Source organism: Homo sapiens, chromosome 2, assembly GCF_000001405.40.
Source record: "Homo sapiens chromosome 2, GRCh38.p14 Primary Assembly".
Lineage (NCBI taxonomy): Eukaryota > Metazoa > Chordata > Mammalia > Primates > Hominidae > Homo > Homo sapiens.
This window is the reverse complement of record NC_000002.12, coordinates 61,743,479-61,769,504: the sequence shown is the minus strand read 5'-3', so window position 1 is coordinate 61,769,504 and position 26,026 is coordinate 61,743,479. Positions and strand designations below refer to the sequence as shown.

Here is a 26,026-nt window from a genome sequence, read left to right as displayed (position 1 = left end):
AGGCTCCTTTGGATGATGTCATTATCTCAAACCTTCCTTGTTTTTGATGATATTGACAGTTTTGAGAAGCCCTGGTCAGGTAGGATTCTCCTTTATTGGAATTTGTCTTTTTCTTGTGATTAGATATGGGTTTTAGGGAGGAGGTTCACAGAAGTAAAGTGGGAATAAGTATTTTTACAGGCACCCAGGTGACTCATACGTATACACTGTAGTTGGTGGCCCTGTTGTTAACATGTCCATATGTAGTCATTGTGTCTTTGAGCAGCTTTGAGAATTATACTGCTATAGTGAAATTTTTCAAGAGCAGGAACCATGTGTTACTCATCTTTGAATCCTGAGGGTTTAGAACAGGGCTCATCATTTAGTACATATTTCATAATGTTTAATCAAATGAAAGAAAGGTACAAAGCTAGAAGTTTATCCTATGAATTTACTCCTATATCCAAGTACACATATATCTATGAGAGTTTGTACCCTGGGAGTTTGGAAAAATAGTGGAGCAATAGAAGCTCACTTTAGAGGCCACTTATCTAACCCTGGATTAATCAATCTTGCTCATTCCCTCTGTAAAGCAAATTCACATAGAACGTGCAGCACATTGCAGGCTATAGGAAATTTGTAGGCTACTTCTTAATAGGCCCATGCACTTCTCCTCTCACCAGTTGAGTTTTTTGCTTACCAGGAAAGTTTGTGTTTCTTCCTAAATCTGTGTATGTCACTCTTACTCTTATTACAAATATGCAATTTTATTCATATCAGAAAATTTAGCTAAGTATAAGTGAAAAAGAATTGTTTCTCTAAAAATGAAAATGGTAGCTCACCAAAAATAACTGCTGTGGATTGAATGTCTGTGCCCCCACCCCCCAATTCACCTGCTGAATCCCAATATAGTTTGGATATTTCTCCTCACCAAATCTGATGTTGAAACTTGATTCCCAACACTGGAGGTGAGGCCTAGTGGGAGGTATTTGAGTAATGGGGGCAGATCTCTCGTGAATGGCTTGGTGCTACCCTTGCAGTAGTGAGTTCTCACTCTTAATCTCTGTGAGAACTGATTGTTAAAAAGAGCCTGGCACCTCCTTTCCTCTTGTTCCCCCTCTTGCCATGTGACACACTGGCTTCCCTTCACCTTCTACCAAGAGTGGAAGCTTCCTGAGGTTCTCACCAGAAGCAGATGCCAGTGCTGCTGATGAATATACAGCCTGCAGGCCAGGCATGGTGGCTTGGTGGCTCATGCCTGTAACCCCAGCACTTTGGGAGGCCGAGGCGGGTGGATCACTTGTGGTCAAGAGTTCAAGACAGCCTGGTCAACATGATGGAGCCCTGTCTCTACTAAAAATACAAAAACATTTCGCTAGGCTTGGTGGCAGGTGCTAGTGATCCTAGCTACTCGGGAGGCTGAGGCAGGACAATCACTTGAATCCAGGAGGTGGAGGTTGCAGTGAGCCGACATAGCGCCATTGCACTCCAGCCTGGGCAACAAGAGCTAAACTCCGTCTCAAAAAAAAAAAATGCCGGGTGCGGTGGCTCACGCCTGTAATCCCAGCACTCTGGGAGTCCGAGGTGGGTGGATCACAAGATCAGGAGATCGAGACCATCCTAGCTGACATGGTGAAACCCCGTCTCTACTGAAAATACAAAAAAATTAGCTGGGTGTGGTGGCAGGCGCCTGTAGTTCCAGCTACTCGGGAGGCTGAGGCAGGAGAATGGTGCGAACCCGGGAGGTGGAGCTTGCAGTGAGCCGAAATCGCGCCACTGCACTCCAGCCTGGGCAACAGAGCAACACTCCATCTCAAAAAAAAAATAAATAAATAAAAATAAAAAAATAAATAAAAATAATAAATAAATTTAAAAATTACAAGAAAAGAATACACAGTCTGCAGAAACATGAGCTAAATAAAATCTAAGACAACACCCAGCCCCCAATGTGACTGTATTTGGAAATAGGGTCTTTGTAGTAGGTTAAATGAAGTCATAAGGTTGGGGCCTTGATCCAATAGAATTAGCATCTTTCTTTTTTTTTTTTTTTTTTTTTTTTAAGATGGAGTCTCACTCTGTCGCCCAGGCTAGAGTGCAGTGGCATGATTTCAGCTCACTGCAAGCTCTGCCTCCCGGGTTCACGCCATTCTCCTGCCTCAGCCTCCTGAGCAGCTGGGACTACAGGCCCACCAAGCCTGGTTAATTTTTTGTATTTTTAGTAGAGATGGTGTTTCATCGTGTTAGCCAGGATGGTCTCGATCTCCTGACCTTGTGATCCTCCTGCCTCGGCCTCCAAAAGTGCTGGGATTACAGGCGTGACCCACTGCGCCCAGCCAGGATTAGTATCTTTATAAAAAGGGACACCAGAGAGCTCACTCTGTCTCCACCAAGTGAAGACACAGTGAGAAGGTGGATGTCTGCAAGGCAGGAAAACAGCCTTCACCAGAAACCATCCATGCTGGCACTCTGATTCAGATTTATAGCCTACAGAACTGTGAAAAAATACAATATATATATATATATATTTGAGACAGAGTCTCACTCTGTCATCCAGGCTGGAGTACAATGGTGCAATTTTGGCTCACCACAACCTCCACCTCCCGAGTTCAGGCGATTTTCATGCCTCAGCCTCCTGAGCAGCTGGGACTACAGGAGCACGCCACCAAACCCGGCTATTTATATTTTTAGTAGAGACAGGGTTTCACCATGTTGGTCAGGCTGGTATTGAACTCCTGACCTCAGGTGATCCACCCGCCTCAGCCTCCCAAGTGCTGGGATTACAAGCGTGAGCCATCGCGACCAGCCAGATTTTCAATCAACCCCCTGATCCTCCCTTACACACCCTCCCACTGATATGGTACCTCTGTGAGCCTTTTTGGAGTTCTGAAATATAAATTGCTTTACTTTTTTTTTTTTTTTTTTTTTGAGGTGGGGTCTCGCTTTGTCACCCAGGCTGGAGTGCAGCGTCACAATCTCAGCTCACTGCAACCTCCACCTCCCAGCTCAAGCGATCCTCCCACCTCAGCCTCCCGGAGCAACTGGGACTATAGGCACACACCACCATGCCCAGCTAATTTTTTTGTATTTTTGGTAGAGACAGGGTTTCGCCATGTTGCCCAGGCTGGTCTCAAACTCCTGAGCTCAAGCAATCCGCCTGCCTCGGGCTCCCAAAATGCTGGGATTATAGGTGTGATCCACTGCACCCAGCCATAAATTGCTTTACTTCTAATTGACATTCCCCTCTGCAGTCAGCCTTCTTGGATTCCCTTTCCTTCCTCCGCTAAGTAGATGCCAATTTTTCCCATCCACTATTGTCTCTTTCTCATTCTCTTAGTCCTTGCTGGTGTTTACATTTTCTTATTTCAATGGGGTTTCATAGAGAACCAAGATAAGCACATATATAAAATCTCATGTTAAATCAAAAGCTACTTTGTAGAATATTAGTTTTCAAAGTCATGAATTCTTTTAAAATCAATGATGCAGTTATAAAATACTCAGTGATACGAAAAAAATGTTCATAATGTGCTCCTTTGTATCTTTTCAATATCTTTAGATTTTCGGCTGGGCGCGGTGGCTCACGCCTATAATCCCAGCACTTTGGGAGGCTGAGGCAGGCGGATCACGAGGTCAGGACTTTGAGACCAACATGGCCAACATGGTGAATCCCCGTTTCTACTAGAGATACAAAAAATTAGCTGGACGTGGTGGCGCACACCTGTAATCCCAGCTACTTAGGAGGCTGGGGCAGGAGAATCGCTTGAACCCAGGAGGCAGGGGTTGCAGTGACCTGAGATCCTGCCATTGCACTCCAGCCTGGGCGACAGGGTGAGACTCCGTCTCAAAACAAAAACAAAAACACTTTAGATTTTCTGGTTAGAAAAGGAATGCATGTACATTTTATAATACTCCAAATGATACAGAAATATCTAACAAAGTGAAAGTCTCCCATAGTCCTACTCCACAGATAAAGCCACAGGGTGGTTTATGTTCGTCTAACAAATGCATTGTTTAGTGATTCAGTATTTGTAAGATAGGAAAAAACAACAGAAGGAAAACACTAAAATGTTAACAGCAGTTAACTTTGACCAGTGGTTTAGTGCTGAGTTTTTGCTCCTTTTTATGTTTTCTAATGTGCCTGCCTAAACATTTATTTTAAATATTTAGAAAAAAGTGTACATTTTCAATTTCTCTTCCGTAAAATATAGTCTGTAATTATATTCAAACTTTCCTTTTTACAATTTTGCCTCTCATCTAAAAATTCCCTCTAAGAATAAAATAAGACTCTAGTATTTACGATTAAGAGGCTTTAAAAACTATAATAATAGTGGCCAGAGGGGGGCCGGGCGCGGTGGCTCACGCCTGTAATCCCAGCACTTTGGGAGGCCGAGGTGGGCGGATCACCTGAGGTCAGGAGTTCCAGAACAGCCTGGCCAACACGGTGAAACCCCGTCTCTGCTAAAAATACAAAAATCAACCGGGCGTGGTGGCGTGCGCCTGTAGTCCCAGCTACTCGGGAGGCTGAGGCAGGAGAATCGCTTGAACCCGGGAGGCGGAGGTTGTTGTAAGCCGAGATCCTGCCACTACACTGCAGCCTGGGAGACAGCGAGACTCCATCTCAAAAAAAAAAAAAAAAAGAAGAAAATCTTGCATCAACACTCCTACGCAAATGTCTCTGCGATTCATTCAATAACTGGTCATCAACCTCCACCCCCAAACACAACTGTCAGGTCTATGTCGTTCCCAAGTAGGCAGGTCGGTGACCCTCACGAGGAAAGGGAGTGTGTGGGCCTGTCTGTCTCCAAGGCCTCGCCACACAACAGTCCCTCAGCGGTTTCGCTGTTATGCGAGGTCTTTACCCCGGGATGTTCCGGGGAGTCAATCCCTCCCCGCCCTAGGCTACGCCGGGAACGGCCGGCAGCTGATCCGAACTTTCTGCCGGGCCTCCTTTCTCATTCCTCGGGTTCGGCAGTACCACACCCGCCACGCGATTGGTATCGTAGGAGGGCCTTGTTTGACCACGGCGACTCGTTACTTATGGGTGAGGATTTACGCGCGTCCTTCCGGAGGCCACACATCACTTCCCTTGCTCCGCCCAGTTTAGAGACCTGCGCACCCGCCAGGGCGTGAGAGAGACTACCCGGCGCGCGGTGACGCCCCAGCTCGCCCACACTTCTGCCCCGTCCCGCCCATCGTTGCGCGGCCGCGGGCCAATCAGATCGTGCCTTTACTCTACGCCCCCGGCTCCCCCGAACTTCTGTCCTCATTTCAGGGCGACTTTGGGAACACAATAGTCGACTCGCCGACGTTCCCTTAGACGCGTTGCCATACGTCGTCACCCATAGAAACGGCTTTCCGCGGGGCAGACTCCAAGTCTCGCCTGTGTGAGCGGGCAGGGGTAGCAGGAAAGGCTGTTTTTCATTTCCAAGAGAAAACCGTCACCCCGCCCACCTCGAACCTCCTCCCAACATCTCAGGATAGAAACGCCGCGCTCAGGTGAATGAGAAATGTTCTGATACAGGAAAGAGGAGTTCGTGTTTCTTTCAGAAGGTGACCGTTTTCCTCCTTCTGAGGTCACGAGCTGTCCGTCCGATGCCCAGAATTCCGAGGCCTGATGTGGCGTGTTTCCGGTAGCTGGGCTCCTCGGAGAGCTGTGGGAAGAGGCGCGGGCGACCGGGGGCGTCAGCGAGCCCTGTCTTCGCCTGCCTTCGCCGGCGTGGACTCTTCCCAGTGCCCGTCTTCCCCCGCGAAGTAATAGTGTCCTGTATTTCCTGACTGTAAGAAGAATAGTGCTTTTAAAAAATGCCTGCTCCCTGTAATAGCAGCAGTAGTTCGAGAGTACATACATGTTTATAAAAGAAACTTAAACTCTCATTCTTGCCACAGTGGATAATACTATTAACATATTGCTACATAAATTTAGAATTTTCATACATACACGTAAAGGTGTTTGGTTTTTTAAAACAGAAAAACGTAAGCGCGTTATCTCCCAGTAATGTCTTTGCAGGTAAATTAAAATAATTACATATATATTTATATTTATATATATATATTTTTTCTAAGAGATGGGGTTGTTGCCCAGGCTGGTCTTGACCTCCCGGGCTCAAGTGATACTCCCACCTCAGGCTCCCAAAGTGCTGGGACTGTGGGCATGAACCACCGGGTCCAGCCTACAGAATCATTTTTAATGGCTGTATGGATATCATAATTTGTTCAACCAGTCCCTAAGTTGTTGGACTTTTCAGGTATTGACAGCTTTTCAGGTCTACAATCCTAGATGAATATTCTTATATGTAAATCTGTACATGTCCCTGATTATTTTTTTACAATAAAGTCATAGAAATAAAATTACTGGATCAAGGAAAATGCACGTTTGTAAGACTCTAAATGATATTACCAGACCCTCCCCTAGAAACCTATTTACTACTTTTCCATTAACAGTATGAGAAGGAATATGCTCTCTGCATCTCCTTGCTAATCTTAGATATTGTCAGTCTTCGTGATCTTTATCATCTCTTTAAAAAAGACTCGTTTTAATTTGCATTTTGTTGCCTAAGTGTAAAACTGAACATCTTTCATATAATTATTGGCTCTATTTTTGTGAATTACTAGTTCATGACTTCTGCCTATTTTTAAAATGAAATATTCACATTTTAGAAATTACAAGTGCTTTTTGTATGTTAGAAATATTTTTAAAATGAAATATTCACATTTTAGAAATTACAAGTGCTTTTTGTATATTAGAAATATTAACCTATGATTGAGATATTTACAGATATTTTTCCTGTTTTTCAAATTCATCTTTTAATATCACCTATGGTTTTTCGTTTTTTTTTTTTACTGAAGGAAGTTTTTAATTTTTATGTAGATATGTCTAATGAGTCATTTCCTTTGTTTCTAGCTTTGATGTCATGGTTACCTGTATTTTCTTCTAGCATTTTTAGAGTTTTAAAAAAATAATTTGTCGGGTGCAGTGGCTCACGCCTGTAATCCCAGCACAAATGCTATGCATTTACATTGCATTAGGTATTATAAGTAATCTAGAGTGATTTAAAGTATACAGGAGGACGGATGTGGGTAGGTTATATGCAAATACTACATTTTATGTAATGGACTTGTTATCCGCGGGGGTTCCTGGAAACAGTCGCACACAGATATCACGGGATGACTGTACTAAATGTCCGTATGTACTTTTTCTGCCTCATTGATTTATCTGTTGCTGGGCAGTAATACTGTTTTAACATACCTTTAGATGATTTAAAAATTTCTGATGGGATAAATCTCTGCTTACTAGTCTTTAAGAATTGTCCTTAAAAATATATTTAATACACATAAAATAGAATTTTGTAATATATGTAAGTTTAAAAGCGTAATAATATGAAGCCAACCTCAACCTAACCTAGAACATTACCAATAGTGTATAAATCTGTGCTCTTCCCAGGATGGCAGAGGCTATCCCTGCCATCCTCTCCAGAGATATATTATTTCTTCCATGGTAACTTTAAACTTTGTCAAATTAAAAAACAATTGTGGCCGGGTGTGGTGGCTCATGCCTGTAATCCCAGCACTTTGGGAGGCTGAGGCGGGCGGATTACCTGAGGTCGGGAGTTCGAGACCAGCCTGACCAGCATGGAGAAACGCCCCCCCATCTCTACTAAAAATACAAAATTAGTCTGCTGTGGTGGCGCATGCCCGTAATCCCAACTACTCGGGAGGCTGAGGCAAGAGAATCACTTGAACCCGGGAGATGGAGGTTGCGGTGAGCCGAGATCACACCATTGCACTCCAGCCTGGGCAACAAGAGCGAAACTCTGTCTTAAAAAAAAAAAAAAATTGTAATTTTGATTGCGATTGCAGTACTTTTATTGACTAATTTAGGGGAAACAGACATCTTTATAAAAGTAATACATACTTATGTAGTTTCTACAAAGTGTTATTTGTGTTATTTAATCCACACAACTATTATCACCCTCATGTTACAGATGGGGTAACCGAGGCATAAAGAAATTGAATAATTTGGCCAGGCGCGGTGGCTCACGCCTGTAATCCCAGCACTTTGGGAGGCTGAGGCGGGCAGATCACGAGGTCAGGAGATCAAAACCTCCTGGCTAACACGGTGCAACCCCATCTCTACTAAAAATACAAAATATTAGCCGGGCATGGTGGCACGGACCTGTAGTCCCAGCTACTCGGGAGGCTGAGGCAGGAGAATTGCTTGAACCTGGGAGGTGGAGGTTGCAGTGAGCCGAGATCACGCCACTGCACTCCCACCTGGGTGACAGAGCGAGACTCCATCTCAAAAAAGAAAAAGAAATTGAATAATTTGTCCAAAGTGAAGCTGCTAATAAGTGGCAAGGTCAAAAGTCAAAGCCAGGCAATTTGACCCCAGAGCCTGTCCTCTTGTCCTGTTGCCTTTCCACAATATGGACGTGCTCATCTATTTATAATGCACATGCCAGGCAGTTTGCTCCAGCACTTCCCCACATCCCAGTTGGCATCCTTATCCTTTATTAACCCGCTTCTCCCTTGCCATAGCTGATTGGAATAGAGGCGGGTAGAAAACTGATTCAAGCTGGTCCAATCAGATTCTCTTTCCTGGAAATGTGCAGTTACATGGTTTTAACTTGTCTCTTGACCTAGAAAGTAAGGGAAAAGGAGGGAGAGATGTTTGATCTACATGTATGCAGTACAGAGAAAGCAAGGCTGCAGAAAGAAGCAGATTCACAGAGAAGCAGTTATGAAGTCCTGTGGCCCCAGAGGGGTATGATGGATTACCTGCCCATGGTTCTGGGGCTTTCCAGGTCCTAGCTTGCCACTACTAAGGCTCTACTGCCCTGTCCACTCTTAGGGATCTCCACAAGGTACCCCCTCTCCTCCTTCAAATAGACCCCTTTTTGGCCAGACGTGGTGGTTCATGCCTATAATCCCAGCACTTCGAGAGGCAGAGGCAGGGGGATCACCTCAGGTCAGGAGTTCGAGACCAGCCTGACCAACATGGCGAAACCCTGTCTCTACTAAAAATACAAAAATTAGCCGGGCATGGTGGCACGCGCCTGTAATCCCAGCTACTCGAGAGGCTGAGGCGGAAGAGTCGCTTGAACCTGGGAGGCGGAGGTTGCAGTCAGCCGAGATCGCACCACTGTACTCCTGCCTGGGTGACAGAGCACGACTCCATCTCAAAAAATAAATAAAATAAAATAAAATAAAATAAAATAAAATAAAATAAAATAAAATAAAATAAAATAAACCCCTTTCAATTTAAGCTCACCTGACTGACTTTTCTTTGTTTTGAAACTAAATATGCCACCTGAAAACATGTGGTCCTCCATTTACCCAAGTTTTCTTTTAAAGTTTCCCAGTAGCATTTTCTTCACATAGATCCATACATTTCTTGTTCAGTTCATTCCTAAATATATTTTAGGTGGATTTTTTTTTTTTGCTCTTTGCAATAATTTCAGTTTGTCATTCCCCCTTCACATCTTAATCTGCAAAAATTTGGCTTTCATCTGTTGAGACTACCAAATGTCAATGGCTTTTAAATGTGACATTAATCTTCCAAATGCATTCCAAAATAATGTTATCCACTAGATATATTTTATAGTTCTATGCTTTGAAATTGTTCTGGCGATGATTCATATGAGGATGACGATGATTCATCTGATGTAAGTGAGCCACAAGGATCCCAAAGAAGTATAGAATTTCCTATAACCTGATTTAAAAAGAAAGTCTAACATATGAATAGGAACATTGAATTTCCAACACATTCAACTGATATTAAAATAGATAAAATGAAGAAAACTACTTTCAAGACTGATTTTCACATACAAAACAATAAGATAACAGAGGGTATAATTTGGATAAATATTTAGAGTAGACTAGATAACAGAGATTAAGAGAAATTCATATCTCATTCTTAGCATAGGGACATAATCCTGTATCCAAATTCTTTCTTGCCAGATGTGTTTCAGAACTGAGAGTTATCAGGATTTTAGACAGGAATATAATGCATATCCCATATATTCTGTAACAGCCCAGCAGGATCTGGAGCAGAATCTTGTAATCAAACCAAAATATGCATGCAAAAAATGCATTAGTATTAACCATAAGTAGGATAAACAAAGGCTAGAAACAGATACACATCTGTTCAGGTCAGATTTTGCTGCTAAATGAGTTTGCCACGAACTTATGAAAAACTTCAGGTTTCTACAGTTTTTTTCTTTGTTTTGAAATTTTAGACTATGATTTGTAGACCTCTACAAGCAAATATGTTCAGATTTCAACATCTGGCCAGATGTGAGTCAAAGAGTTGTTTTCAAGGCTTGGCTGTGTTAGATAGTCTTGTGGTTTGGGGTGTTTAGTCTGAAGGCAAAGAGTGCCCTTTTTTTTTTTGATACAGAATATTGCTCCATTGCACAGGCTGGAGTGCAATGGTGCAATCTCAGCTCACTGCAACCTCTGCCTCCCTAGTTTAAGTGATTCGCCTGCCTCAGCCTCCCAAGTAGCTGGGATTACAAGCGCCCGCCACCACGCCTGACAAATTTTTGTATTTTTAGTAGAGATGGGGATTCACAAAGTTGGCCAGGCTGGTCTCGAACTCCTGACCTCAGGTGATCCACCTGCCTTGGCCTTCCAAAGTGCTGGGATTACAGGTGTGAGCCATCACGCCCAGCAAGAGTGCACTTTTAGAAGAACAAAATACAGACTTTGAAGCAATTATTAAAAAAAAAAAAGGTCAAGTTTTCTGTTTGTTTGTTTGTTTGTTTGTTTTTAATCAACTTGAATTCTTGACCTTTGTTGTCCATCATTATTTCAGTGTGGTGTTTTGGTTGAAATGAACTGCAATAAACACAAAAACTTCCGAGTAAATCTTAACTAAAAAAACCTTAATGTATTTTTCCTTAAACCTATCAATCAAGAGATCCTTGCCTTGATGTTTTCATTTCTTATTTCTAGTACATAGGAGCATTTCCTTCTAAATATCCTATGGCTGTACAGATATTGCTTCAGTTGAATCTATTAAAGTGTCAAAATTAAGGAATTTATTCAGTCATCATATAAATTGAGTGCCTATTCTGTGCCAGACTCTGTGCTAGGTGTTGAGGATACAGTCTGGTGAGCAAGAAACATTTAAATAAGATTTTACAGTAGAGTATGATAGGTGATGAGGTAAGTACAGTGTGTCATGGAACACCATGTATTGAGATGAGGGAAGGACTAAAGGTTAAGTAATAAATCAGGCAGGTGAAGATGAGGAGGGAAATTTTAAAATGTTCTAAGACAGTTATTTTCAAAGTGTGGTCCATGAATCAGCAGCATCAGCATCATCAGGGAACTAGTCAGAAATTCAGATTCTTGACCCATACCCCAGACCTACTGAATCAATAACTCTGGAGATGGACCCCAGGAATCTGTGTTGTTGTGGTTTTGTTTTTTGTTTTTTGTTTTGTTTTTTGTTTTTTTGAGACGGATCTCCCTCTGTTGCCCAGGCAGGAGTGCAGCAGTGTGATCTCTGCTCACTGCAACCTCTGCCTCCTGGGTTCGGGAGATTCTCCTGCCTCAACCTCTCGAGTAGCTGGGATTACAGGCACGTGCCACCATGCCCTGCTAAGTTTTGTATTTTTAGTAGAGATGGGGTTTCACCATGTTGGCCAGGCTGGTCTTGAATTCCTGACCTCAAGTGATCCGTCCACCTCCGCCTCCCAAAGTGCTGGGATTACAAAAGTGAGCCACTGTGCCTGTGCTATATAACATTCTTGAAGTAACAAAACGATAGAAATAGAGAACGGATTAGTGGTTGTCAGGGGTTAAGGAGGGGGTGGGGGTTGAAGGGAAGTGGGTGTGGCTATAAAAGGGCAGCATGAAGGATTCTGGGGTAGTGGAACTGTGGAAATACTCTGTATCTTGACTGTAGCAATGTCAATTTCTTTTTTTTTTTTTTTTTTTTTTTTTTTTGAGACGGAGTCTCGCTCTGTCGCCCAAGGCTGGAGTGCAGTGGCGCGATCTTGGTTCACTGCAAGCCCCGCCTCCCGGGTTCACGCCATTCTGCCTCAGCCTCCCGAGTAGCTGAGACTACAGGCGCACGCCACCACGCCCAGCTAATTTCTTTTTGTATTTTTAGTAGAGACTGGGTTTCACCGTGTTAGCCAGCATGGTCTCGATCTCCTGACCTCGTGATCTGCCCGCCTCGGCCTCCCAAAGTGCTGGGATTACAGGTGTGAGCAACCGCGCCCGGCCAGCAATGTCAATTTCTTAGTCGTGATAGTTTACTACAGTTTTGTAAAATGTGACCATTGTGGGAAACTGAGTAAAGGGCACACAGAATCTTTGTATAATTTCTTACAACTACGTATGACTCTATAATTATTTAAAAATGAAATATTATAAAATAATGCTATGAAGAATAATAAATCAAGGTATTCGAAGATGTCCTGAGGCAGCTAATTAAAAAAAAAATCAGGGTAAGGGGACAGAGAGAGATGAGAAAATTTATTTTATACGGGGGTAGTTAGGAAAGGCCTAGCTATTAAGGAAGTTAGGGTATTACCTATGAATGTCTGGAGAATATTAGAAGTACAAAGATTCTGAGACGGGGTGTGCTTGGCATAACTGAGGAATGGCAAGGATACCATTGTGGACAGACTAGGGTGAACAATGGAAAGCTATAGGAAATGAGATAAGAGTGGGTGGAGATCGTGGTGGTATAGACACATCGTAGAAGAGCTTATTTCATCCTGAGTAGAATGGGAAACCACAGGAGAGTTTTAAACAGAAAACGAACATGATCTAACTTGAATATTAAAAGTATCACTTCACTGGGTAAAAAATCGAGTGAGGGGGCCATGGATAGAAGTGGAGCATCAATTGTGAGGCTATCGCAATGATTCAGGCAAGCAATGATGGTGATTTGGACTAAACTGGCAGAGCAGGAGGTAGTGAGAAGCAGTCCGACTATGAATAGGTTTTGCAGGAATGGAACACTGGGTGTTCTAATGGAGTGCATGTGGGACGTGAGAGGAGGAGTAAGAGTCAAGAATGATTCCCAGATTTGGGCCTGAGCAAGTGGAAGAATGGAGTTACTATTATGAAATGGTGAGCTGAATGAAGAGCAATATGAAGCTCTTCAGATCAGTTTTGTTTTTGGCTTGTTTAGATGCCTGTAGACATCCAAATGGGGATGTCACATAGCCTGCTGGATAAATGCATATTTCTAGAATTTGGGTAAGAAGTTGGGCTAGTGCTATTGTTTGAATGTGTGTGTCCCTCCAAAATTCATATGTGTGGAACTTAAACCCCAAGGAGATGGCATTAAGAGGTGGGGTCTTTGGGAGGTGATTAGGCCATGAGGGCCCTGACCTCCTGAATGGGATTAATGCCCTTGTAAAAGCTGCCTGGCCCTTTCATTTCTTCTGCCATGTAAGGACACAGCATTTGTCTCTTGTAAAGGACGCAGCAACAAGACAGCATCTTGGGAGCAGAGATAGAGCCCTTTATCATACACTGAATCTTTCAGCACCTTGATCTTGGACTTCCCAGCTCCCAAAATTGTGAGAAATAAATTTCTATTATTTATAAATTACCCAGTCAGTGATATTTTGTTATAGCAGCAAAAACAGACTAAGACAACTAGATAATATGAATTTGGGAGGCAATAACATATAAATGGTATTTAAAGTCATGGACTGGTTGAGAACAGCGAGGAGTGAGGATATGTAGATAGAGAAGAGAAAAGGTCTATGCAATGTGACCCAGGTACACCAGTTTTTAAAGCTTAGGAAAATAAAGGAGGCCTCAACAAAGAATGCAGAGAACGAATGCAATTGAGCTATGAGGAGAACCATGGAGGGTGGTGTCTTGGAGACAAGGTGAAGAAAGGGTCTCAGGCTGGACACGGTGGCTCACACCTGTAATCCCAGCACTTTGGGAAGCCGAGGCGGGCAGGTCACCTGAGGTCAGGAGACTGAGATCATCCTGACTAACACGGTGAAACCTCATCTCTACTAAAAATACAAAAAAACCAAAAATACAAAAAAACCCACAAAAATTAGCCCGGCGTGGTGGCGGGTGCCTGTAGTCTCAGCTACTTGAGAGGCTGAGGCAGGAGAATGGCATGAAACTGGGAGGTGGAGCTTGCAGTGAGTCGAGATCATGCCACTGCACTCCAGCCTGGACGAGAGAGTGAGACTCTGTCTCATAAAAGAAAAAGAGACCAACCAATAAGACAAATGCTACTGATAGGCAGAACAAGACAAGAATTGAGATTTGTCCTTTAGATTTGACCGCATGGAGGTCATTGGTCATTTTCATAAGTGCAGTTTCAGTGAAACAGTGGAAGGAAGTCTTGATTAGAGTGGGTTCGAGAGAGGAGAGAAAATAGAAATTAAGTATAGACAAGGCTGGGTGCAGTGGTCACGCCTATAGTTCCAGCACCTTGGGAGGCTGAGGCGGGCAGATCACTTAAGGCTAGGAGTTCAAGACCAGCCTGGCCAACATGGTGAAACCCTGTCTCTACTGAAAATAAAAAATTAGCTGGGCCTGGTGGCAGGCACCTGTAATCCCAGCTACTTGGGAGGCTGAGGCAAGAGAATCACTTGAACCCAGGAGGCGGAGGTTGCAGTGAGCCAAGATGGTGCCACTGTACTCCAGCCTGGGCAACAGAGCAAGACTCTGTCTCAAAAAAAAAAAAATCTGAATATTAAAACAAAAGATTCTCCTAGTGTCCCTATTGACAAGGGTTTTAAGAACTCTGTCAGGATCCAGGGGTAGAGACCAATATACATATTTCGTGTTATTTCATAGTTATTTATACCTTGATAAAGCTGTTTAGAATGTTTATGGAGTGACATAACTCTATATGGGCTCTCAGCACTGGGCTAGGCATCTGGGTCACAAATAGGACATAGGCAGGACCAGCCCTCAAAGAGCTTCTAGCCCAGTGTGGGGCCCTGACGTAGACACACGCAACTCACAGCACAACAGAGATTCCTCAACATAGAGATGAGAGCTGTGAGAATCCAACTTGGCCTTACCCTGGGGCAGTGACTGCCTCTCTCAGCACCTCAATTTCCTATTCTATAACATCCACCTGCCTACCTCAGAGGATGTGTTAAAGATCCAATGAAAACACTTTGTGACAAATGCTATACAAACGTAATAGGATGGTTTTCAAAACAAGATGGTTGCTGTTAAGCATCTGATTTAGAGCCCTTGATGAGCTGTCTAATTTCAGATAAAGGTGATGTAAAATAATTATTGAGGGTGTTATGTCTATTTATAAAATGATGAAAAATTGTCAGCTTGGGTTTGAATCTGACTTTGCCATTATTATTATAACGGTATCATTTGTGTGACTTTGGGTAAATAACCTCTCTAAGACTCCTTTACAAAATGGAAATATTAAAACTGACCTCAAGGGTTGCTGTGAGGATAACATGATATAATGTATTTTAAGTGTTTGTTACAGAGTAATACCAGAAGGTGCAATTGATTTGAATTTTTTAAAAGCAAAAACTATTAATTCCTTTTGAATGAACTAGTTCGCATCTGGTATTTCCTCTTATCCCTTGTGCTGTGGTTTGAATAGGTCCCCCAAAGTTCATGTGCTGGAAACTTAATTGCCATTATGATATTATTAAATAAGAGGTGGGGCCTTTAAGAGGTGATTAAAGAGCCCTCATGAATGGATTAGTGCCATTATTGTAAGAGTAGGTTCATTGTTGTGGGAGTGGGCTCCTGCTAAAAGGATAAGTTTGGCCCCCATCTTGTCTCTCTGTCTAATGTGCTTGCTTCCACCTTCCACTCTTCTCCATGGGATGACCCTTGTCAGATGCTTGTGCTATGCTCTTGGACTTCCCAGTCTCTAGAACCATGAGTCAAATAAATTTCTTTTCTTTATAAATTGCCCAGTCTATGGTATTCTGTTATAGAAACCGAAAATGAACTAAGACATCCTGTTTAAGCTATTTTTACACATAGGAAGTTTTCAATTAAAATGTTAATCTCTATAACAATTGTCACAGTAATTCCAAATGGTGTTCCTATTTTATTGCAGTTATATGTTTAGATTTTTATGATCTGGAGGATGGAAAAAGATGAAGGGTCAGATCAGATTGGTTGTCACCTTCCAGTCAGAGTAATTCAACCTGCTTTTATGGTCCCAAATCATTCTGGGCTAACAGTCTTACCTATCATAGAAGGGCTTTATTTATTCCCTTTGTTTGTTGCCTTTGATAGTGGAAGAAATACAGATAGGGTCAATAGAGGTGAAGGAAAAAATGTATATTCAACCTATTCCAGTTTGTTCTTTTTCCTGTTTCAGTTTATATGTCCATAAACTGAGGTAGGGAATGCAATTTGGGGATATTTATGGGTTATCTAAGTAGGTGGCTCTATGAAGTGCCCCTAAAGACAATTAAAGAGAGAGTACTATTATTATTATTTTTGAGACGGAGTCTCACTTTGTCACCAGGCTGAGTGCAGTGGCGCGATATTGGCTCACTGCAACCTCCACCTCCCGGGTTGAAGCGATTCTTCTGCCTGAGCCTCCCGAGTAGCTGGGACTACAGGCATATGCCACCACACCCAGCTAATTTTTGTATTTTTAGTAGAGATAGGGTTTCATCATGTTGGCCAGGATGGTCTTGATCTCTTCACCTTGTGATCTGCTCACCTTGGCCTCCCAAAGTACTGGGATTACAGACATAAACCACCGCATCTAGCCTAGTTTTTTTTTTTTTTTTTTTCCTCAGACAGAGTCTCTCGCTCTGTTGCCTAGGCTGGAGTTCAGTGGTGTGATCTCGGCTCACTGCAACCTCTGCCTCCCGGGTTCCAGTGATTCTCCTGCCTCAGCCTCCTGAGTAGCTGGAATTACAGGCACTCACCACCATGCCAGGCTGATTTTTGTATTTTTAGTAGAGACGGGGTTTCACCCTGTTGGTCAGGCTGGTCTTGAACTCCTGACCTCCTGATCCACCTGCCTTGGCCTCCCAAAGTGCTGGGATTACAGGCATGAGCCACCGTACCTGCCCAAGAGAGAGTATTATTAATACTTTATTTCCACAACCCAAATCCTAAGGATCTTATCATACCTCCTTTTTGAATTGGATTAAAAGTTGTTTAAATCTATGCAGATATTGTGTACTTTTCTAGTGCTGATGTGAATTTAACAAAGAGGCTTGAAGAAATTCTCAGAATAAAGCCTTGAGTTTTATTTCCATTTTAAGACCTACTAAGAACTATGCTAACATGCCTGGAATTCCATCAAGTACATCTTCATGATCCTTCTCTTGTCAACTTCAGTCACAAGTCATAGAAATATACAGACAGTCCTCAACTTATAATGGTTCAACTTACCATTTTTTGACTTTCCAATGGTGCAAAAGCAATATGCATGCAGTTGAAACCATACTTCAAGTGCCAATACAGCCATTCTGTTTTTCACTTTCAGTGCATTATTCAGTAAGTTATATGAGATATCCAACACTTTATTATAAAATAGGCTTTGTGTTAGATGATTTTACCCAGCTAATGTAACGTTGGACTAATGTAAGTGTTCTGAGCATGTTTAAGGTAGGCTAAGCTAAGCTATGATGTTTGGTAGGTTAAGTGTATTAAATGCATTTTTGACTTACAATATTTCCAAATTAAGATGGTTTTTTTTTTTTTGTTTTTTTTTTTTTGTTTTTTTTTTTGAGATGGAGTTTCACTCTGTCGCCCAGGCTGGAGTGCAGTGGCACGATCTCAGCTCACTGCAAGCTCTGCCTCCCGGGTTCATGCCGTTCTCCTTCCTCAGCCTCCCGAGTAGCTGGGACTACAGGTGCCTGCCACCATGCCCGGCTAATTTTTTTTTTTTTTTGTAGTTTTAGTAGAGATGGGGTTTCACTGTATTAGCCAGGATGGTCTCGATTTCCTGACCTCGTGATCTGCCCACCTTGGCCTCCCAAAGTGCTGGGATTACAGGCATGAGCCACCGCGCCTGGCCCCAAATTAAGATGGTTTTATTGGGACTTACGTCCATTCTAAATCAAGGAGCACCTGTATGAGAACACATGGACACATAGAGGGGAACAACACACACTGGGGCCTATCAGAGGGTGGAGGGTGGGAGGAGGAAGAGGATCAGGAAAAATAACTAATGGGTACTAGGGTTAATACCTGGGTGATGAAATAACCTGTACAACAAACCCCCATGACACAAGCTTACCTATGTAACAAACCTGCACATGTACCCCTGAACTTAAAATAAAACTTAAAAAAAAGAAATGCCAAACCTGAGCCAGAAGTGAAAGACAAAGATTTTTATTTATTTTGCCCTGTCTTCAAATAAAGAGGTTGATTAACTTGAAAAAAAAAAATAAAAGCATCCGTAGTGTCTGGGTTAGTGAATATATTTCCCTTTAGTTATACCCATGTTACTAGAATTATTCTGTTTATTTTTTAAAAAATTATATAAACTACAAACTCCTTACCATTGCTTCTGAGGCCCGGCATAATCTGGCTGGTCCTTGTCAGTTTTTCCAACCTCATCTTTTCCTACTCTTGTCCCTCCTTGATCACTTTGCTCCAGCCACACTGATCTCTTTCAAGTCCTCAAACATTCCAAGTTCTCCACTTCAGAGATTTTGTACGTGCTGTTTTCTCTGGCTGGAATGCTCTTCTCCTTGAATGGTTGCCAATCTTGGGTTTCAGCTTATGTGTTATCTCCTTACTCATTTATTGAGTGCCTAGTGTTCCAGGCATGTTCTACGTGCCCCTCATAGCAGTGAACCAGGATCATCCCTGCCCTTGAGACCTTCCCTAAGCACCCTGATGGAATATTCCTTGCTCCCTCCCCTGCTATTGTACATCTTTCTTCCTTTTTTGTGTCCCTTCTTGTACTCATGGCAGTTTGTAATTATTTTACTTCTTTTCCTTCCCTTCCCTCAGTGGAAATGTAAGCTCCATGGTGGCTGGGGCCTTATCTGTCTGTTTGCTATTATGTCCCCGGCATCTAGCAGAGTGACTGGGATAGAACAGATCTCAATGTATATTGAATGAATGAATGAGTAATCAGCATCTGAAGAAATTTGAACATGTCATCTGTTAAGAACTAAAGCTAAAGAAGATGCAAATTATGTTCATTGCAGATTCAACATAGAAAATGCGTAGTTAATCTCTAGCAAAGTGCCTAGCTCATAATAGATGCTCATCAAAATAGATTTTGAATGTATAAAGAAGTGAATATATTTGAATTTATTTTCCTATGCCCTGTAAGGAAGATTTTTAATAACTAGTATACCAACCAGTATCTCAGCTGATTCTATCTCATTTAAAGTTAAAAGTCCTGGCCAAGGATTCAGAAAGTGAAATCATTTCCCTAAAAAGTCATACATTTATGTTTTATGTATTTTCTTTTTGAGATGGAGTCTCGCTCTGTCGCCCAGGCTGGAGTGCAGTGGTGTGACCTTGGCTCACGGCAACCTCCGCCTCCTGGGTTCAAGTGATTCTCCTGCCTCAGCTTACCGAGTAGCTGAGACTACAGGCATGCACCACCACACCTGGCTAATTTTTTGTATTTTTAGTAGAGACGGGGTTTCACAATGTTGGTCAGGCTGGTCTTGAACTCCTGGCCTCAGGTGATCCGCCTGCCTCGGCTTCCTAAAGTGCTGGGATTATAGGCATGAGCCACCACGCCCAGCCTTTTATGTATTTTCTTAAAGCATTATTGTCATGATGCTAACAGCTGACCTTATAAGCGCAGCAAAGGTATTTTGTCATAGAATGCTTAAATGAATATATGCTCCTTTATTTGAATAATATGAAAAATATTTATATAACTATAAACTTTAACATTGGAAGGAAACCCATACTGATTGAACATGTACTACATCCCAGATACTTCCCTAAATTATTATCTTCTTTCATCCTCACAATAATTGAGAGAGGTATTCTTATTCTCATTTTACTGCTGCTGCAGGAAATGAGGGTCAGGGAGGTTAACCAAATTGTTCTAGGAAAAACACTGGGCGGTATAGTGAAGATTCAACCCCTATCTTTGGATTTCACGAACAGGGTACTTTCTGTCTCTTTGGGCCTATCAAGTCCCAGGCATTAGAAACATAAAGATGAGTATGGCACCTTCCTGTCCTCTAGAAGTTTAGAATTCAGCCCATCACTTAGAAATGTAAGCCAATAATTGAAAGAGGTTCTAAACTTCTTCGTGTATTAGAGAGGCAGTCATTCAGTCTCCCTGGAGTGGATACCACATTCCAGGTCTCTTCCTCACCTTAGTATATTTATTTTATTTTTTCAAGTACTTATACAGTATTTACTATGTTTTAATTCCTTCATAGGTATTAATGCATATAATTCTCATTTAACAACCCTATGAGGTAGTTACTATTATAGTCCCATTTTATCAATGAGAAAATGAGGAACAGATAGGTTAAAAAACTCAACCCAAGTTACACAGCTAGTAGCAGAGCTGTGAGTCAACTCCAGGCAGTCTGGTGCTAGAATCTATATTTTAACCACTAGATTATGTTGGTTTGAGGCCTTTCTAGGTTCAGAAAATTCAATATTAGCATTCACCAAAGTGATCTGATTTTAGAGCATTGACAACTTATTGCTTAAAAATGAACGAAACAAGTATTGAGTATACTGGATATTCTTGTTGATTGCTTACTGTCTTTCTAGGCAATTCTACCTGGGTAGGCAATTTATAATCAGAGGCTTCTTGGTGCCCTGGGAATTAGATCAAGGGAAATTAGCTGGCTGATCTTAAAGACTTAGTGATTCCATTTCCACTACAGGATTATGTCTGTGACAGCCATTCTCCTGGACAATACTGAAGGTATACTGCTTTTCAGAGCTGTGAGATTACAGTGCTTACCAATCCTCCTCAAAGTTGAAATAGTCTTTCTTTAGACATTGTATTAGTCAGGACTCTTCTAGTTGTACGTTAGAGAGTCCCAGCTCAAATAAGCTTAAACACAAAAGGCAATTGTTTGACCTATGTCCCTGGAAAGTTAAAAGGTGAACTTGGCTGCCATATCTAGTGGCTCAAATGCAATTGCCCTCCAGGTTTCTCTTTGTCTATCTACATCCCTCATCCTCCACAACTCTGGCTCAGCCTATCTGTGTGTTGACTTCATTCACTCTCCTACAGAAGGAGACTTATTGGACCATGTCGGGTTACCTATTCTGTTTTGTATTGGTAAATATGGCCATGAAAATAAGATATTCCCATTTGGTTAGGATTGGGTCACCGGTGCATACATGTGGTCTCGGGGCCTGGGTTTATTTGATAACCCCACCAGAAGCACATGTTGGGGGAAAGGAGGATACATTCTTCAAAAGACATAGGAATGGGCTAGGTACAGTAGCTCATGCCTGTAATCCCAGCACTTTGAGAGGCCAAGGTGGGTGGATTGCTTGAGCCCAGGAGTTCAGGACCAGCCTGGGTAGCACAGTGAGACTTTGTCTCTACAAATAATTAAAAAACCAGCTGGGCATAGTGGCATGCACCTGTGGTCCCAGCTACTCTGGATGCTGAGGCAGGAGGATCGCCTGAGCCCAGGAGGTAGAGGCTACAGTGAGCCATGATCACGTCACTGTGTTCCACCCTGGGTAAAAGAGTGAGACCTTGTCTCAAATAAATAAATAAATAAATAAATAAATAAGAAGAAGAAGTATAAATAGGAATGATGTACAGACAAGAAGAACAACAGAAAAAACACACATAACACGTATACTCATTCATTCTTTTTTTTTCTTTTACCATTTATTTATTTTTAACTTGTAAGTTCAGGGTTACATGTGCAGGTTTGTTACGTAGATAAACTTGTGTCATGAGTTGTGTGTGTGTGTGTGTGTGTGTGTGTGTTTTGAGACGGTTTTACTCTGTCACCCAGGCTGGAGTGCAGTGGCGCCATCTCGGCTCACTGTAAACTCTGCCTCCTGGATTCAAGCAATTCTTGTGCCTCAGCCTCCCTAGCACCTGGCACTACAAGGGTGCGCCAACATGCTCAGCTAATTTTTTGTATTTTTAGTAGAGAGGGGTTTTGCTGTGTTGGCCAGGCTGGTCTTGAACTCCTGGCCCCAAGTGATCCTCCCACCTCGGTCTCCCAAAGTGCTGGGATTACCCCACTCCTGCCCCCATGGAGATTTGTTGTGTGGATTATTTCATCAGTCAGGTATTAAGCCTATTTATTACCCATTAGTTACTTTTCCTGATCTTCTTCCTCTTCCCACCTCCACCCTTGGATAAGCCCCAGTGTGTGATGTTACCCTCTATGTGTCCATGTATTCTCATCATTTAGCTCCCACTTATAAGTGAGAACATGCAGTATTTGGTTTTCTGTTCCTGCATTAGTTTGGTAAGGATAATAGCTTCCAGCTCCATCTATGTTCCTGCAAAGTACATAATCTCATTCTTTGTTATGGCTGCATAGTATTGCAGGGTGTATATGTGCCACATTTTCTTTATCCAGTCTACCACTGATGGGCATTTAGGTTGATTCCGTGTCTTTGCTATTGTGAATATTGCTGCAATGAACATATGCGTGCATGTGTCTTTATAATAGAACAATTTATGTTCCTTTGGGTATATACTCAGTAATGGGATTGCTGGGTTGAATGGTATTTCTGTTTTTACATCTTTGAGGAATTACCACACTGTCTTCCACAATGGTTGAACTAATTTACACTCCTACCAACAGTGTATAAGTGTTCCTTTTTCTTTTTAATCTCACCAGCATCAGTTATTTTTAACTTTTTTTCGTGACAGATTCTTGCTCTGTCGCCCAGGCTGGAGTGCAATGGCACGATCTCAGCTCACTGCAACACTGTCTTCCACAATGGTTGAACTAATTTACACTCCCACCAACAGTGTATAAGTGTCCCTTTTTCTTTTTAATCTCACCAGCATCAGTTATTTTTAACTTTTTTTTTTTGACAGATTCTTGCTCTGTCACCCAGGCTGGAGTGCAATGGCACGATCTCAGCTCACTGCAACCTCCACCTCCCCGGTTCAAGCAGTTCTCCTGCCTCAGCCTCCCAAATAGCTGAGATTACAGGGGCCTGCCACCACACCCAGCTAATTTTTCTATTTTTAGTAGAGAGGGGGTTTCACCATGTTGGCCAGGCTGGTCTCGAACTCCTGACCTCAGGTGATCCACCCGCCTTGGCCTCCCAAAGTGCTGGGATTAGAGGCATGAACCACTGCACCTGGCCCGTTTTTTGACTTTTTGGTAATAGCCATTCTGACTGGGGAGAGATGGTATCTCATTATGGTTTTGATTTGCATTTCTCTAATGATCAGTGACGTTGAGCTTTTTTTGTGTGATTGTTTAATTGTTGGCTGTCTGTATGTCTTCTTTTGAAAAGTGTTCATGTCCTTTGCCCACTTTTTAATGTTTTTTTCTTGTAAATTTCTTTATAAGTTCCTTATAGATACCTTTTTTCCCTTCATTCCTTTCTTCTTCTCCTTCTTCTTCTTCCTCTTCTTCTTCTTCTTCATCTTCAACATCTCCTTTTTTTTTTTTTTAATAAAATAAAGGTGGGGAAGTCTCACTATGTTGCCTAGGCTGGTCTCAAACTCCTGGGCTTGAGTGATCCTCCTGCTTCAGCCTCCCAAAGTGCTGAGATTATAGGTGTGAGCCACTGTGTCCAGCCCATACATTCATTTTTTATGAATTCAAAATATACAGTACTTATTAAATACCTACTATATTTCCCAGGACTGTTGATATTTCTACATGCTACACACACACACACACACACACACACACACACACACACACACACACACAGATCCCAATTTATAACAGCTTAAAAAGCAAGAAAGGGCTTTACCAGAAATGTTGCAACGTGCCTGAGAGATAGATATCTAACAGGATCAGATATATAGGAACAGTACTGAAAGAAACCACAGTCCAAAACACTTGCAGAAGACAGCAATCCAGATAGGAGCTCAGTGTCATCCCAACTCTAGAATCAACTGGTAAGAAAAGTGAGCGGGACGAACCCTGGACATTCCTCATAGAGATTCACTGAGGGGTTAGATAAGTAAAAATGGGCCGGGCTCAATGGCTCATGCCTATAATCCCAGCACTTTGGGAGGCTGAGGAGGGAGGATCACTTGAGGTCAGGAGTTTGAGGCCTGCCTGGCCAACATGGTGAAAGCCCGTCTCTACAAAGATACAAAAATTAGCCAGGCATGGTGGCACATGCCTGTAATCCCAGCTACTTGGGAGGCTGAGGCACAAGAATTGCTTGAACCTGGGAGGCGGAGTTTGCAGTGAGCCGAGTTTGCGCCACTGGGCTCCAGCCTGAGCGACAGAGCGAGACTCTGTCTCAAAAAACAAAAAAAGAAAGAAAGGAGAGAATGTAGAGGAGAAATCATTAAAGCAATATTTCTCCAAATTTCAGAAAGATACAAGTCTTCTCATTGGAAATGTTAACCAAGATGAATGAAATGGAAACCAACACCTGGACATGTCATGGTGAAATGTTAGAACACTGGGCACGAAGGTAAAATCCTAAAAGCTTCCAAAGAGATAAACAGGTTAAGCTCAAAGGAATGGGAATCAGTGTGGCATCAGGTTTCTCATTGGCATCATTGCTGGAAGACAACAATCTGAGGAAAAATCAGACTGAGAAAAACTATCTTTCAAGTGAGAGTGCAAAATATGGTTATTTTTGTATATCCAAAGATTCTGAAATTGTACCATCCACAGATCTTTACTGAAATAATCATGTGGGGTTGAACTCTAGCAATGTGAACAATGAATCCAAGAAAAAAGGAGACATGGGATTCAGGAACTAATGTGAGGGGCACATGAGGTAGGCTTGAGGCCCTGTATTCTGTGTGACTTCTAATTACCCGGTATCCAGGAGATCTGAGGCTGTATCCCACCAGGACCCATTCCAATCCCAGATGGTACTTAGGAGTTTCATCAACAACAAGCTTCTCTTCAATAAAGATTATCAGAAGTTTTGTTGGCTACAAAGGACTCATCCAACTTAGAACTAAACTCTGGAATATGGCTTTATTCTATTGTTTCTCTCTTTTTTATTTTTTAGTTTATTATTTTTTTTGAAACAGGGTCCCACTCCTGTCATCCAGGCTGGAGTGCAGTGGCGCCATCATGGCTCACTGCAGGCTGGAATTCCCAGGCTCAGGTGATCCTCCCACCTCAGCCTCCCAAGTAGCTGTGACTACAGGCCTGTGCCACCACGCCCAGCTAATTTTTTTGTGTTTGTTGTGGAGACATAGAGATGGCGTTTTGCCATGTTGCCCAGGCTGGTCTCAAACTCCTAGACTCAGGTGAAGTGTGAGCCGCCTCTCCTGGCCTATTCTTTTGTCTCTTAAAGGATTAAAATTAAGGAGGTCACATTTGCCATGAAAAGTTCATGATATTTTGTTCATCACTGCATTTTGCCTTTGAATGAAAAAGTTTGTTCTTTCTCAGAGAGGCACATAAAGATCGGAACTGGTATAGCAAAGCAGCCTGTGAAGTCAAACTAGTGTGGGTTTGAATTATGACTCTGTGATTTCCTCTTGAGTAAAATATTTAACCTCCCTGAGCCTCAGTTTATTCATATACTTGAATACGGATAAGAGGACCTATTTTCCAGGTTTGTGTAAGGCGTTAAGAAGCTAACATGTAAAGTAGCATTGTGCGCTGAGAGTTTCAACTCCGGTTGCACGTTAGAATCATCTGGGGGCTCTTAAAAACTACAGATACTGAAGCCCCACCCCTAGAGATTTGGCTTTAATTGGTCTTAGGTTGGTGTATTTTTTAAAGCTTTCCATGTGTTTCTAATGTTGAGAAAAACTAACATGCATATATGTGGCTGGCACAAAGCAGGACCCAATAAATAGTAATTTCAAAAAATGTAAAAAAATTATAATAGAAGGCTTCCAGACAGAGGCAGATATGACTTGAAGCAAACAAGGCATAAGTTTCAGGGCCCTCACTTGCATACGCTCCTTCGAAGGCTCAGTGAGTTCTCCTCCAGCCTGAGCAGAGGGCACCAGTGGCCACTCCACCTGGGGTCCCCTGCCCGTGCT

General features: G+C 42.4%; 1 long non-coding RNA gene across 2 annotated transcripts, besides 1 other annotated feature; it reads left to right on the top strand.

Annotated features, from left to right (window-relative positions):
* Positions 1 to 5,241: 5,241 nt before the first annotated feature.
* LOC107985767 (uncharacterized) lies at positions 5,242 to 25,539 on the top strand. Of its 2 annotated transcripts, XR_007086333.1 has the most exons (3): positions 5,242 to 5,472; positions 24,382 to 24,483; positions 24,847 to 24,949. It is a non-coding gene; the product is annotated as an uncharacterized LOC107985767 (long non-coding RNA). The 2 variants fall into 2 exon arrangements; XR_001739092.2 differs by having other exon boundaries at positions 24,382 to 25,539.
* Positions 5,453 to 5,652: an enhancer, noted in NCBI's record as "active region_15836". NCBI's record gives its function as "activates an Ori minimal core promoter by ATAC-STARR-seq in GM12878 lymphoblastoid cells {active_cell/tissue: GM12878}" and the evidence as "EXISTENCE:reporter gene assay evidence [ECO:0000049][PMID:35858748]".
* Positions 25,540 to 26,026: the final 487 nt, after the last annotated feature.